Genomic DNA, 15,554 nt, shown 5'->3' on the forward strand with positions numbered 1-15,554 from the left:
TTTCTCTTTAGTACTAGGTCATGCTAAGTCTTTAAGTTCCTGGTACCATGTGGTTCATTCTAACAGCTCCTTTCCAAGGGAAATCCTGTTCTTAACAGCTCTCTTGGTAAATAAACAGTCAACACATTTATTGAGCATCTGCTACATGCCAGGCATATTCCAGAGGACGGGAGGGTGCTTGCAGGGAGGGGAATAAGCAAAAATATAGATGTAAATAAAGAAGGCAAGTGCACAGAGGAAAATTAAAAATTTTAAAATGAAAGTGGGCCAGGCACAGTGGCTCATGCCTGTAACCCCAACACTTTGGGAAGCCAAGACGGGAGGATTGCTTGAGACCAGGAGTTTGAGACCAGCCTGGGCAACATAGCAAGACCCCATCTCCACAAAAAATTTTAAAAATTAACTGGACACGGTGGCTGGTGTGCACCTGTAGTCCTAGCTATGCCGGAGGCTGAGGTAGGAGTATTACTTGAGCCCAGGAGTTCGAGGTTGCAGTGAGCTAGAATCATACTACTGCACTCCAGCCTGGGCAAAAAAGCAAGACTCTTTCTCTAAAAAAAAATTAAAATTAAAAAAAATAAAATAAGTGAGGGTTATGTGGTTCTAGGGAGGAGAGCCACTTTAAAATGGTTGATCAGAATGTTCTGAGGATGTAGCATTTAAGTGAAGATCGTGTGCTGAGAAGGATCTAGTCAGGTGAAGATCTGACGTGGGGCATTACCAGGAGAGGAGTGCTCATGCTCAGCCTTCAAACTTTCCTTTCTTTGTGTAAATGTTGCTATCTCAGAGCCAGGTCTGACAGTTTCAAGGACTGAGGCTTAACTTAGGTAAGCTTCCCCTACAGTAAGAGGATGGCCCAGGTCCCTGTGACTGGTTTTAGCCAGTCAAACTCCCAGAGTCTGGTACTCATGGGGTCATTGCCTTTGACCCCGTCACGACCCTGAAACTGCTTCAGAAGGTAGAGTACATTGCAGTGCTAGGTGGTGATGAAATTCTGGCACAGATTCAGTGTCAACCCAAGAAATGCACAGAAGAAAGACCTCTCAGAGTAGAGAAATTTCTGAGAAGCCTCTTGCTTTATTTTTCATAAGAATTCTGGAATTTAAACCAATGGCAAAACATTGAGATAGTCATTGAATTTTTTTCAAAGGCAAAATGGTGGAAGGGTTTGTCTCATCTCATCTCATCTGGCCAGTAGATTGTCTTAGTCCTAAAATGCCTCCCATCAGAGTGAAGTTTTTTTCAGGTTTTGCTAAAACGCTTCAGCTCTGCACACATCTTTGCCTGTTGGTGGCTTTCTAAAGAACTAGTGAGGTTTTTTTTCCTCTATTAGAGCAAGTCATTCTTTAAAAAATTCTTCTTAAGAACCAGAACTCTTTCATGCTTTTCAGGTTATTCTGTTGACAAAGGTCAGGGAACAAAGGGAGAAGTTTGCTATGTGAGTTAGAAACTATAAGGCTCTTTTGAGCCTTCTAAACATTTCAGAAGCACCGTCTAAAATTGATTCATTACTTAGCTGACTTTGCTTATCACAGTAGAGGCGGCCTGGCTGGCATGTTATACTTCGTTGGGTTTTGAGAGGCCCTGAAACATTCCACAACATGAAGACAAGCTTGTTCGGTTCCTTTGTAGTAGAGTGGGGAAGGGGGCTGGTGGTAAAGGGGCTCTCTGCCCATTAGTGGGGAAGGGGACTGCAACAATTCAGTTTACTTCTTTGAGCATTTGTTGAGCATCTGCTATGTGCCAAACACTGCTATAAGCCAAGCAGAATGAAATATGACATAGTCCCCCTATGAAACTGCAGTCCAGGTTCCCACACAAGGGTAGAGCATTGTATGGACAAGTACAATTGTGTATCCTCCCTGTTCCAGGAAGAAATAAATGGCATGCTGTTCTCTTAATGGCCTTTTATACTGTTCGCTAGAGGCCATCCCTCAGTTTGGGGCATTTCAGCTGATGACAAGGACAGTTCTTCACTTGGACTTTGTGTCTTGACCTCACCACCTTCCCGAGATGTCTTGGCTCCTAATAAGCCACCGTATGTCTGGCTGCCCTTCTTCAAGCTGGTCCGCCTGCATTGCCAGGTGACCTCAATAACGGCTGCCACTTTTGCATTCATGAGCAGATGTTAAGTTGAGAAGCCCTCAAATGCAAAAATTTGAATTTGTGATGTAGGCAAGATGTTTTTGCTTTCTTACCTTCCCTGGTTGACAGTGGGGGGTCTCCATGCTGGCTGTTCTGCAGAAGGCTTTCCGGGCAGCAGGTAAATCAGAGACCAGTTGCAAAATCAATTGTCTTTGTTAGGTGATCCCAGCATGCCACTGCCTTAGCCTAAATGTCTCATTGACCAGAAAATTGCTCTTTTGATCTCATAACTCATTTTGCACTTTTTCCCCCTTAATGTTCTCCTTGCTTCTGCAGCAATTCCTGCTCAGGGTTCAAGACTGAACACTCCCTATGTTTGGCCTGTGGAGGGAGTTTGTTTTCTGGTGCTGTTTGGTTTGAAAATTGCCAGTGTAAATATTCTTTCTGTGCTCATGAAAAGCAGTGGAGGCTTTCATTATATGCTTTCTACAATAAAACAATCCTCTTCCTTACTCTGTGGTCATTGCTGCCAAATGGATATTTTGAAATTTCTTTTCCTCTTGCTTGCTAAAATCTCCCACCCTGTCTGAGGCCTTGCTCTAATTAAGGCCTGACAGTCCTGCCGACCTTCCCCAGCGCTGAGCATGACGTAGAGTCCCTGCCCTGAGGGCCTTACAAGCCAGTGAAGCCAGAAAACAAAAGCCACCAGCTGAGAGTGTGGTTAAATCCCAGAAGGGCAGTGCCCTTGTCATTTTTTTTTCCTTTTCTCTTGTTTCTTGAACTGAGGAAGGGAAGAGAGGAACCTGGAGCAGGGAAAGGAAGGAACTACACCATGGAAAGATTCTCTGAAGTACTCAGGGTACTGGGGAACAGTGCGGAAGAGAATGGGGTGGTCATCTGGGAAGCAAAATGGGGAGCTGGCTGTAGATAGAGAGGGCAGCATGGGGGCAGGGTGAGGATGCAGAAGATAAGAAAGAGGGAACAAAGGAAGCAGTCAGGAGGCAGCCAGGGGGACAAAAGGAGATGCCGCTCTGCTGCGCCATGGAGCTGGGGGAACAAGGTACCAGGGAGAAAGTGGGAAGGGGTTGCAACTAGAAAAAGAAGGCTCAGGAGAGACCTTAAATGCAGGTTGCAGGCCTACGGCATACAGACTGGGTGCTATGATGTACTCTCTGGCTTCGCTCATAATGTTGGCCTTGCTACTTAATGGCCCCACGTTGGCGATTGTGAAGCGCCTACAGATTGATGTCCTTAAAGGTGATTTATTTACTACAGAGTCATAAGAACTTTCCATTTCTTTTTTTTTTCTTTCTTTCTTTTCTTTCTTTTTTTTTTTTGAAACGGAGTCTTGTTCTGTTGCCAGGCTGGAGTGCAGTGACGCAATCTCAGGTCACTGCAACCTCCGCCTCTTGGGTTCAAGTGATTCTTCTGCCTCAGCCTCCTGAGTAGCTGGGACTACAGGCATGCACCACCATGCCCATCTAATTTTTGTATTTATTTTTTTTAGTACAGACGGGGTTTCACCATGTTGGCCAGGATGGTCTCAATCTGTTGACCTCGCGATCCGCCCGCCTCAGCCTCCCAAAGTGCTGGGATTACAGGCGTGAGCCACCGCGCCCAGCCTGAACTTTCCATTTCTCTCCCAAGTCTCCTATTCTACATGCTGAGGATGCCAGAGGGTCCCCTTACCACCACTCCTCACCACCCCCTACCACCCTCCTCCCCATCACTGTACTAGATCTGAATTAAACATTAAATGAAATAAGCAGACTTTTTATTCATGCTATGTGATCAAGTGCTTTTGGTCATCTACAAAGCACAGACTGAAGACCTACCCAAAATACTTGCTGTACACTGCAGATTTTAGAAATTATTTTCCCCAAAGTCAGGTTGCCCACTGCAGGCATGCTAGTTTGCTCTGGGAGCCCCCAGAGCCTTCCTCTTCCTTCCTTCACCAGCCTATCCAGCCCCTAGTCTGAGTGCCTGTGGAGCCATCCTCAAAGGATATTCTGATTGTTTGAATCGCTTGGTCTCCAGGAGAACCACACCTGGCTGGCATACCAGCATTTAGCACTGCATCATCCCTGTACTTCCTGCTAAGCTCTTATGGGAATCTGAACTACACGTTTCTGTTGCCTTATTGATTTTAGACTCTATACTCTATCTTTGAGGGAATCATGGCCCAGAGAAGATGGGACTTCTTAAGGTCTCTCGGAGAGTTAAGTGGTGGAATGAAACCAGGCATGACTCCTAGACCAGTGCTCTTTTGACTAAAGCTGCCTTGAGGTCACAGGGAAAGCCCAAATTCTAAACCAGAGGCTGACAAACTTTTTCTGTAAAGAATCAGACAGCAAATACTTTAGGCTTTATGGCATGAAAAAACAAATTTTCAACAAATTGAGTTTAAAGATCTACTTGGTTTTTATTAGCAATTCGTGAATCAGGCAGCACGCTATCTATAACAAATAGGAAGGTATTCTGTTGGGCATGGCAGAACAATTGGTTTTTATAAGGTAGCTTAGGCAGGAACAAGGAAATAACATAATACAAAAAGCAGATTGGTTAACATCAGGTTACTGCAGGTAATTTTCCTTATAAAGGTTAAAGCAGAGGGGACTGCTTTATCATTCTGGCTAAAATTGGCCTATTATCTCTCTCCTAATTTCTCAAGTCGGATAAACAACTTCATTTCAGTTTGGTGATGTGGAACTTTAGCGTGAGTGACTCCATTTTGGTTTGGTCTCTTGGGGCTTAGTGCAGGAGCCAGTCTAAATCAATGGCCTTCTATACATTTAGTTTAACAGTGGGTCAAGACAAAACTGAAGATACTTCGTAGGTATTTATATAACAAGTGACAAAGCAAATTTTCATAAATTTTGTATTATGAAATTCAAAATACAATAATATATAATATTAAGTATAGTAATAATGATATACTATCATTCACAGATACAGAAATGAATGAATGTGACTGTGTCTCAAAACTTCACTTATAAACTCTAAAATCTGCATTTCATATAATTTTCACATCATGAAATACTGGCATACCTCAGATGTCACAGGTTCGGTTCCAGGCTACTTCAATAAAGCGAATGTTGCAATAAAGCAAGGTGCACAAACTTTTTAGTTTCCCGGTGCATATAAAAGTTGTGTTTGCATTATACTGTAGTCTATTAAGTGTGTAGTACCATTATGCCTTAAAAATGTATATACCTTAGTTTAAAAATAATTTGTTGCTAAAATATGCTACTGATGTCTGAGCCTTCAGCAAGTCATAATCTGTCTGCAGATGGAGGGTCTTGCCTGGATGTTGAAGGCTGCTGACTAATCAGTGTTGTGTTGCTGAAGGTTGGGGTGGCGATTTCTTAAAATAAAACAACAGTGAAGTTTACTGCATTTATTGACTTTCACAAAAGATTTCTCTTTAGTTTGTGGCACTGTTTGATAGCATTTTACCCACAGTAGAAATTTCTTTCAAAAGTAGAGTCAGTCTTCTGAAACTTTGTCCTTGCTTCATCAACTAAATTTATGTAATATCATATATCCTTTGTTGTCATTTCAACAAGGTTCACAGTGTCTTCACCTGGAATAGATTCCACCTCAAGAAACCAGTTTCTTTGCTCATCCATAAGAAGCAACTCCTCATCTGATCAAGTTTTATAATAAGATTGCAGAAATTCAGTCTCATCTTTAGGCTCCACTTCTAGTTCTTATGCTATTTCCACCACATCTGCAGTTACTTCCTCCACTGAAGTCTTGAATCTCTCAAAGTCATCCATGAGGGTTGGAACCAACATCTTCCAAACTCCTGGTAATGTTGATATTTTGACCTCCTTCCATTAATCATGAATGTTCTTAATGGCATCTAGAATGGTGAATCCTTTCCCAAAGGTTTTCAATTTGCTTTGCCCAGATCCATCAGAGCAATCACTGTCTATGGCAGTTATAGCCTTATGAAATATATTTTTAATAAGACTTGAAAGTCAAAATTATTCTTTGATCAGGACTACAGAATGGATGTTGTGTTAGCAGGCATGAAAACAACATTTATCTCCTTGTACATGTCCATCACAGTTCTTGGGTGACCAGGTATATTGTCAATGAGCAGTAATATTTTGAAAGAAATCTTTTCTCTGAGCAGTAGGTCTCAACAGTGGGCTTAAAATATTCACTAAACTAGATCTGCTGTCATCTAGTCATTGTTGTTCCATTAATAGAGTACAGGCAGAGTAGATTCAGCATAATTCTTAAAGGTCCTAGGATTTTCATAATGGTCAATGGGCACTGGCTTCAACTTAAAGTCACCAGCTTCATAAGCCCCTAATTGAAGTTTTGAAGCCAGGCATTGATTTCTCCTCTCTATTTATGAAAGTCCTAGGTGACATCTCCTTCCAATAGAAGGCTGTTTTGTCTACATAGGAAATCTGTTGTTTAATGTAGCCACCTTCATCAATTGTCTTAGCTAGATCTTCTGGATAACTTGCTGTAGCATCCACATCAGCACTTACTTCACTTTGCACTTTTATGTTATGGAGACAGCTTCTTTTTCACACTTCATGAACCAACCTCTGCTTGCTCCACATTTTTCTTCTGCAGCTTCCTTACCTCTCCTAGTCTTCCTAGAATTGAGGAGAGTTAGGGCCTCACTCTGGATTAGGCTTCGGCTAAAGGGAATGTTGTGGCTCGTTTGATCCTGTATCCTGACCACTCATTCTTTCTCCAGATCAGCAATAAGGCTTTCTTATCATTTCCGTGTTCATTGGAGTATCCCTTTTAATTTCCTTCAGGAGCTTTTCCTTACAACTTGGCTAAATGCTTAGCACAAGAGGGCTAGCTTTTGGCCTGTCTTGACTTTCGACATACCTTCCTCATGAAGCTTAATCATTTCTAGCTTTTGATTTAAAGTGAGAAATGCTCAATTCTTCCTTTCACTTGAACACTTAGAGGCCATTGTAAGGTTAATTGGCCTAATTTCAGTATTTTTGTAGATGAGGAAATATGGAGGCCCAAGGAGAGGAAGAGAGGTAGGGAATGGCCAGTCAGTGGAACAGTCAGAACATAAACATTTATCAATAAAGTTCGCCATCTTATATGGGCGTGGTTCATGGCACCCCAAAGCAATTACAATAGTACCATCAAAGATCACTGATCACAGATCACTATAACACATATAATGATAATGGAAAAGTTTGAAATATTGTGAGAATTACTAAAATGTGACACTGAGACACAAAGTGAGCACATGCTATTAGGAAAATGGCACCAGTCAGACTTGCTTGACTCAGGGTTGCCAGAAACTTTCAACCTGTAAAAAAAGACGCAGTATCTACAAACCCGATAAAGTGGAGTGCAATAAAACGAGCTATGTTTATATTCTCCTTTTGATTTTTTCCCAATAATTAAAAAATGTATAAACTATTCTTAGCTTGTAGGCCACACAAAAACAGGTATCAGGCCAGATGTGGCCCGAGGGACCAAATGGGTTTTGCAGGCCCATTTTCTAATTGGAAACCTGTAAACTGGGGCCCTATTGGCCAGATTCAGTCCACCTGTGTGTTTGTTTCACTTCTAACAATGTTTTTAGTTGAATGAGTCGCCAATATTTTTGTTTCTTGGTTTTAAAATGATTATTACCTTTTTTTTTCAAATTATAAAAGTAGTATATCCCTATTATGAGGTAATTTGGAGTGTTGAACATTTTGGCCTTTTATCTACGCATGGTGCATTTTTTAATTGTTGAGATAGTATTTTATAGACAAACTATGTATCTTCTTGTCTACTTAACATCCTAGCAGAAGCATTTTATGTCATTTTAAATACTTTTATTAACATAACCTTTTAAAACTTTATGAAAATCTTAAACATATGTAGTAGAGGCTAGTTTAATGAACCCTCAGTTCTTTGACAATTATCAGCTGCTAGGCAATCTTGTTTCATGTAAATCTCCTTCTGTATTTTTTTTTGCACTGTTCTTGTAACACTTCTATAAGTTTGAAATATTTTGAAATAAAAGTTTTAGAAATGTAGATTACTTTTAAAATATATTTTTTAAATGTGGATTACTAAAAAAGAAAAATAACCACAGTACTAGACCACACCAACAAAGAACAATAATTCCTTAATAACATCAAAACATCATAGCATTCAAAAAATGAGAGGTCATCTTTTAAAAAACCAATTTATTTGTTCAAGGCTCAAATCCAAAGAAAGTCCATACAGTGCAATTGACACTATTAAATTTCATTTAATTTATAGGTTTCTCTCCTCTCTTTTTTTCCTTGCTATTGCTGTAAAATTTTGTTGAAGAAACTGTAGTTTCCTCCTATCTGAAATTTGGTGATTACCTCCCTTGGTGCTGTTCTGTGTGTTTCTCTATCTCAGAGATTTCCTGTAACTTGGGAGTTACATCTAGAGCCTTGATCAGATTTATATTCCTTTTTTTTTTTTTAAGTAGTCAACATTTCATAGATTTTATATAAAAATCCTGATTTAGACTCCCTTAGGAAGTGCTGCAGATCTGGCATTTCCACCTGGCAACAATTGGTCGGGGTTGGGTAGCCACCATCCCCATTCCCCACCTCCCAACCCCATTTAGGTGGGACTTGAATTCTCCTGCAGGCCAAAATTCATGCCACTTCCCATAAGCAGTTTCACACATTTATCTGCCTGGCTCCCACGGGCATGGGAAGTTGACACCTCTATTCTAAACATTGCCTCTTCAAGGGCTTTGGTAGATTTACTACCAAACACACACATCACACACAACAAGTAGCCTTTCAAGAATGTAGTAGAGATGAGAAAAAATGATTTGGAAAGAGACTTCCTTAAAGTGCTTGAAGGGAAAGAGATAAGCAGCCAAATTAGGGGAGGCCAAGTTATAGAATTTGGTGAGAACCCAGGTTGAGGGAAAGAGGAAAAAAAGTAAAACCACGAATTAAATTAACAGAGTGCTGCTAGTATGAGAGTTGGAATGAGTTAACAGATTCCTAACCAATAGTAGGAAACAAAGACAGCAAGCAGGTTTAAAAAAGATACTTTAGTCTTTTAATATATTATAATATTGAAACCTTAAAGAGAAGACGTTAGTAAGTGTTAAACTGGCCAAGAGTCCTAGTCAGAAGGTGCAAGCAGGCAGTTGTAGGATAACAGAAACCTGTGTGGAGATTAAATGAATGAGGTAGGAAAGCCTTCTAGAAAAGGCCCCTGGAAAAGGATAAGGAAGCATATTGTGGGAATAGTGAAGAACTGGTGGAAATTTAAGAATTTAAGAGAGGAGATAATCTTGAAAGTCTTGCTTTTTTTTTTTTTTTTTTTTTTGCAAATGTATTGAAATGAGAAGTATTATAAAGATAGAGGAAACACATCATGTTTAGTGGTCTTGAAAATGATAAACTTTTACAGAAAAGAAAATAATTATGACAACTTGGGCCCTTCCTGGAAATTTCCAGATAGTTCCCCATACTCAGAAGAATGATTAAGAGAGAGAATCTGTGACTGGTTATGAGGAAGGATGGAAAATTTTGAAGAACGGGTTGATTATGTAATTTTTAGACTGTGTTGTTTAAAACTGTTGCTGTGATATTTTAGTTATTAATAACAATTTGGGGAAATCTAGCCACTTCTGGAGAAACATTTGGCTCTAATAAGAAAGAAATGCCACTGTTTGTGAATTCCCAAGTGGATGTAAAGACCCATTCACTTGCTAAGCCTCTTAGGAAACCCAGAGCCGGTTTTACCCTTAACAAGCTGTTGACAGAGTCTGGTCAAGGTACCACCTGGAACATGTTAACAATACAAAAAAGTGGATATGGATTCAGACCTGTGTTTCAATCCCTTTATGTCACTCACCATGTGACCCTGGCAGATTACCCATGGAAAATTTCTAGGGTGTAAAGGTTGTTTTACACACAGTAGCTATGATTCTCACTGTTTGGATGGTAGGAACTTAGAACTCTGAATACTTAACTTCCAGTACTAACAGCAGCCACAACAGCCTGCAATCATAGCGTGCTTACATAATACCAGGTACTCTTGCAAATGCTTCATATGTATTATCTCATTTAGTTCTTAAAAAGCCCTACAAGGTAGGCACTAATATTAAAATTAGTCCCATTTTATAGATGAAGAAGGCACGGGAGTTGAGCTAACTTGCCTAAAGTGGCCTTGTAAGCAACAAAGCTGGGCTTTAAACCCAGGCAGGCTGAATCCAAAGCGGAATTGCCTTGCCCTACCACCTCCCACCTTCCAGTCACAGGGAAACACAGAGAGCAATACTGCATACTAGCACTTCCCAACCCTGGTTCCTAATCCATGTGCCTCAGTTTTCTTGGAGGTCTTTGAGTAATTTTCAGAGTTTCCAAAAGTTTCAGTGGAAACATACAAACATGCAATTATTAATAGATCACAAATTTTTTAGGTTGGAATCCACTATTAACAACAGGTTAGCTCAGGTTTTGAGAAAGCTCTGATTGGTAATTGCATATACAAAAACATTGCAGGTTTTTGTTTTTGTTTTTTTTAAGTGGGAAGATGAATCATTACTTAATAAATGCAGTTTAGTTGAGTAGATCTTTCTGAACACATGGCATATGGAGGAAGAATAAAGGGTGCTTGGCTTTGAGGAGGTTGGGAAATGCTAATATACATGTGTATGCATGTTGCCCAAACTGTCGGCCTTCAAAACTCTTCCTTTTATTTTTAAATAACATGATTATTTAATTTGACCTGGAGTCAATATATTTTTCCCTCATTATTTAAAATGTTTTGTTGGCTTTATATTTAATATTGGAATCTATTCATCAAGTGATCACATTCTTAAAACATGGTCAGGAACTGGGATGCAGAATTGCAAGTACTGTAGATTCCTGGCTGAAAACGTAAAGAATTGACTTTTTAATCCTTTTAAGCTGTGGCCTTGAATTTTTTTTTTTTTTAAGAAAATTTAAGAATAAGACTCTACTGTCAAAACACAGGGAACATGGACGATTTAAAAAAAAAAACACCTGTCCATTATTCGTGCATTAGCTCCACATGGCCAGCTTGTGGCAGGCCCTCTCTGAATACTTTTTCAATGAGCAGCCCCTGGATCTTGGAAGAAAGATGCCAGCGGCCAGGGCCCTTCATTTAAAGAAGAGGACTGGGTCTTTTGCGTGAAATAGTTTCTGTGCCACGTTGGGAAAAATCTATCTAGGCCTCTCTTGACGGCCATGGAAAAAACACAGGTGACTCCTTATTCCTGAGAATTTGATGCAATTGAAACAGCGACTTTCTGCGAATCCAGTGTGCATAGTCTCGAACAGGAGCCCACGGACCCTTCTGCGGCCCGAGGCCTTGTTCTGACAGTCACCAGGCTCTGTGGCCCAGAGTCCTAACTGCGTTGTCCTTCGGCAGGTTCTGAATTGTGTCCTCCCTGAGGAGGCTGAGGCCGCTGCCTCCTTGGTGGGGGGCCCCGGCTGGCCACTGGGTCGGGCATGGGGCCTTACGGGGCCCTCACGGGTCCCGCCGCCGCCCTCCTGAGGCCTGGTCCTTGGCGCCGCAGTTACCCCAGCCCCGGGCCCGCGGGGCTGCGGGTCGGGCCGACCTCCTCCCGGACGGGCTGCGTCCTCTGCCCCGCGCCGGGGGCGGGCCGGGCCGGCAGAGCCGAGCCGCCGGCGTCCATTTTCTGGGCGGTGCTGTGCAGCGCTGCGGCCGGACTCACGGGTCCGGAAGCACCATGGACCCCCGGGGAAACGCGCCGGCGGCGAAGGAGCCGAGCCCCGTAAGTGCCCCTCGCAGGGTCTTCGCGGGGCCGGGGGCGGGGCGGGGCGAGGCGCGGCCTGCGGGCGCGGCGCCCGTGGCGCCGCCAGCCCGATCGCTCCTCGCTTCTGGAGGGAGCCGGGAAGCCGGGCTGGGGAAACCCTCGCAAGGGTTGAGCTCTGCAAACGCAGCAGAACCGAGCTGCCCGCGGGGAGGAAGCGCCCGCAGGTGCCCGGACTCCGGGGCCCGCGCCCGGAGCGGGGCGGGGCGGGGTGGGTTCGGCTGGAGAGTGCGGGCAGGTTGCGCCGCATCCCGTGGCCCAACTGCGCGGCTGTGCTAGAGGGCGGGGGCCGAGGAGGAATGCGCTCCCGGGGCTGGGGACGTGGTGGGCTCGAGTCCAGCGGGCTCGGGCACTGCTTTGACAGTCACACCTCCCGTCTCCTGGATTGGGAATCGGACCCTAGTCCTGACCCTATGGGAACTTGATGATTTCCTTGATGCAACACCAAGCCCCTGGAATTGAAAGGGACGTGCAAAGGCAGGGACCTGCCCCCAGGGGTTTGCAGTCTCAGCCGCCTACTTCTGCAGTAGTAAGGTCTGCTCTGTTGGTACAACATACAACACAACCGCCCGCCGTTAGCCACTTTTTTTATAGGGTACATCATAAATCACCTGAGATTTTAGTCTGTCCGCGGTTCCACTTTATAACTCCTGCACTGCGGTAGGTAAGTGCCTAATTCCATTCTGGACGTTGGCCCTAATTGAGTATCCCTTCTAAGGATCGATTATAGGTGATATGTGTTATGGTGCCTTATACATATTTTAAAGGTTAAAGACTTTTCTTCTGTGAAGCTCAACTACTTGGTCAGATTCTCATGGTTACAAAATGTGGAAGAGTTTTGTCCTGGTTTCAGAGAAGCAGCTAGTGAGTCGCTATATCTAAGTGTAGCGTTTTTCAAGAGTGGGGGACCCATTCTAAGATTGTGGGATCAGTTTAGCGGGTTGCTACTGGAAATCTTCTTAAAGATATAGAATATATAGTACAATACAGAGAAGAATAGAAAAAATAACGTGCATTGCACATAGTAAGGGTAAGCATTGTTTTATGAGACTTTTGGTTTTCGGTTTATATAATGTAAATTTTTAAAACCGTGGGTCACTGTCTGAAATGTTTTTAAAACCCTGACTTACTGGTTAATAGCCCAGGCCTTGGAATCAATTGAATCTGGATTTGAGTCCTAATTGTCACATACACCAGCTGTGTGACCTTGAACAGGTTCCGTGGTCCATTAGAGTCTCCGTTTCTATAGCTGTAAAATGGGGGAATGTTCCCTACATCTGAAGGTTGTTATGAAGACAACACGAAACCACATATGTCAACCACTTTGTGGGTGTTTGACTTATGTGTTCAATATGTGCTAATTGCAGTTATTATTGTTGCTAAAAGATGAAATCCTAGCAGCTAGTCATGGGACACTGCACTTTTTTTTTCTTTTTAGATCTTGATGTGGAAGAAATGGAGGACTCAGAACCAAGGATTTCCAAGTGATTTCTTCCAAAGCACAGGAATCTCACTCTGTTAAAGCTGGTCTGTTCTAACTGAGGTAACTAAAGTCGCGTCTCTCCTTAGTCTACATGAGATAGGAAATGGTCTTTCTGAGGGACTCCCAAAGGGTATATGATTCAAGACAGCAATCCACCAAGTTTTGGGGTTACAAAGTGACCATGACACTCAAGTGATATGTTACTGGGAGACCGGATGTGTGAAGCCCCCGTGATGAAGGGGAACTAGGAGATCAAGGCTTTAGGACAGCTGGTTTCTTGTTCCAGTTCTGTCAGCAATTGTCGTGGGGTCTTTTACATGTCTCTTCACAGATCTCTAGTTTCCCTAGGCTGGAAGGATGCACTGACATTGCTGAGGCCCGGAGAGTTTAAATGACTCTTCAGGGTTACCCAGTGGGTTGGGGTCAAGGCAGGACTGGACCTTGAATCTTCGTTGCTCAGTCACATAGCCAGCTTCAGGGCCTCTGTGAGGTGAGCGCTCTGCTAGGCACCGAGTATACAAATGTGAAGAGACCATCCCCGGGACACTTGCAGCTGTCGCAGACAAATATTGACGGCCCAGCACACTAAGCTCTACCTTGGAGCCATATACAAGGTCCCAGATGGTGACAATAACAACTACCATTTGTCGAGCATTTGTGTGCATGTGTACGCTAGGCAGTGTGTGAAGGGCTTTAAGCACAGTATTTTTTATTTACCCCTCACGATAGCCCTATGAGGTGAGGAAGAATAGGCGTAAAGGATTGAAATGTGAAAATAGAGACAGGTCATGGAGAGCTTTGCATCTCATACTGCATGTATGAAGACCCTTCTGTGGGCACAGCTCTGTGCCAGGACTGCAAAGTGCCCGTCCTGGAGGAGCTTGCAGCCTGATTCCAGAGAGGCACAGTAGGATGGACGGTGCTTGCCATTCACCCCCACCTTCTTCCCCTGCTTCTCCAGCAGTTGCAGAGTGGGGTCCATCGCAGGGACAGACCAGAGTCATAGACACACCAAAATTCCTACTTCTAAATTCAATTTTTCTTTTTTCTCCACTTAAATCTATACTTCCACCTATCTATTAAAACTTATGCCCTCAATTTATAAATGATAGTAAGGCCTTCTCTGAATTCATTCATTTATTTTTCATCAACAAATGTTTATTGAGCTTCTACAAGGCACTTGGGTACTCAAGACCAGACAGATTTGTTTTTACAATCATATTAGTCATTTCCAGTCTCTTAGCAAAGAATTTGTTGTTCAACTGTTAGCAATTTTCTATTGTTAATATGCTAGAATGTCAGCTCCACGGATGTTGGAGATTGACCCATACGTAGAATTCCAAATGGATATATAGGAAAGCCATTTAAAATGTCTTAATATCTTCAGAAAGGAATTTCACACTTCTCTTTAAAATTTTGATTTTGTCATTCTCGTTACCTGCTTATAGAGGCCTTTTCATTTGTACATTTAACTCATAATCCAAGAAAAAGCAGTTTGGCAAGGGGGCTTTGTTTGGTTTGAAATGTTCTCTTTTTTTAGCTTTGTAGGCCACAGAAGACTGTGGGTATTCAAAAGTAAAGTAATTTAAGAAATATGTTTGTTTAATTTATAAGGTAGAAAATTAGAGATAGCTCTAAGAATTGCAGTAAGCCACAGAAATCAAATCGCAAGACTTGAATACTACCTGTAATAACTTAATCCCCAAATAAAACGAATGAGATGTTGAATGTGAACATGCTTTGTAAACTTGAAGGTGTTCTGTGAATGCTGTACAGCATACTAGAAGTATGACTGTGCTAGAGAGAATGGAGAATTCAGCTGCCACAAAAATCTGGTCTCTTCGCTCTCAGACTCTGTTGAGGAAAGAAGATATGCAGAAATAACCACGTGATAAATGCAAAAAGAAGATATTTTGGTAATTTGAGGAGGAAGGGGTCCCTTTTATCCCTGGCAGTCAAGAGACTCTTGAGAAAAAGCATCTAAGCAAGTCCTTGAATGATGTGGCATTTCAATAAAAGAGATGGAGAGGAGGCATTTGAGATAGGAGGACTAGTAGGAGATGGAGAAACTTGGAGCATATTCAGGGAAAAGCATCAAGTCCAACTGAGTTAGAACTGGTCTATATACAGGCATCAAAACTGGAGAACATTCAGTGCCAAATGATACAGTCTTGAATGCCAACTAGGAAT

At 42.4% G+C, this 15,554-nt stretch overlaps 1 protein-coding gene across 114 annotated transcripts in view, besides 4 other annotated features; it reads left to right on the forward strand.

The window, feature by feature from the left end:
• Positions 1 to 15,554, forward strand: part of ZBTB38 (zinc finger and BTB domain containing 38) — a 125,607-nt gene that overhangs the window by 66,422 nt on the left and 43,631 nt on the right. For 60 of the 114 annotated variants that reach the window (XM_047447856.1, XM_047447857.1, XM_047447849.1 and 57 more), the window contains one exon: positions 13,320 to 13,424. The exons of 5 other annotated variants lie outside the window; for them this stretch is intronic. The gene's annotated coding sequence lies outside the window, so the exon portion shown is untranslated. Of the gene's footprint in view, positions 1 to 5,651; positions 5,897 to 11,154; positions 11,307 to 11,741; positions 11,843 to 12,406; positions 12,546 to 13,319; positions 13,425 to 15,554 lie in introns of those variants that run through there. 49 more of the 114 variants (NM_001080412.3, NM_001387947.1, XM_047447863.1 and 46 more) reach the window with 4 other exon arrangements.
• Positions 2,339 to 2,948: an enhancer, noted in NCBI's record as "NANOG-H3K27ac-H3K4me1 hESC enhancer chr3:141111788-141112397 (GRCh37/hg19 assembly coordinates)". NCBI's record gives its function as "activates a minimal SCP1, AML or CMV promoter by ChIP-STARR-seq in primed H9 embryonic stem cells {active_cell/tissue: H9 hESC(primed)}" and the evidence as "EXISTENCE:reporter gene assay evidence [ECO:0000049][PMID:30033119]".
• Positions 2,949 to 3,559: an enhancer, noted in NCBI's record as "NANOG-H3K27ac-H3K4me1 hESC enhancer chr3:141112398-141113008 (GRCh37/hg19 assembly coordinates)". NCBI's record gives its function as "activates a minimal SCP1, AML or CMV promoter by ChIP-STARR-seq in naive and primed H9 embryonic stem cells {active_cell/tissue: H9 hESC(naive and primed)}" and the evidence as "EXISTENCE:reporter gene assay evidence [ECO:0000049][PMID:30033119]".
• Positions 11,459 to 11,768: a silencer, noted in NCBI's record as "silent region_14775". NCBI's record gives its function as "represses an Ori minimal core promoter by ATAC-STARR-seq in GM12878 lymphoblastoid cells {active_cell/tissue: GM12878}" and the evidence as "EXISTENCE:reporter gene assay evidence [ECO:0000049][PMID:35858748]".
• Positions 11,849 to 12,138: a silencer, noted in NCBI's record as "silent region_14776". NCBI's record gives its function as "represses an Ori minimal core promoter by ATAC-STARR-seq in GM12878 lymphoblastoid cells {active_cell/tissue: GM12878}" and the evidence as "EXISTENCE:reporter gene assay evidence [ECO:0000049][PMID:35858748]".

The sequence above is a fragment of the Homo sapiens genome, chromosome 3, assembly GCF_000001405.40.
Source record: "Homo sapiens chromosome 3, GRCh38.p14 Primary Assembly".
In the NCBI taxonomy this organism is placed as follows: domain Eukaryota; kingdom Metazoa; phylum Chordata; class Mammalia; order Primates; family Hominidae; genus Homo; species Homo sapiens.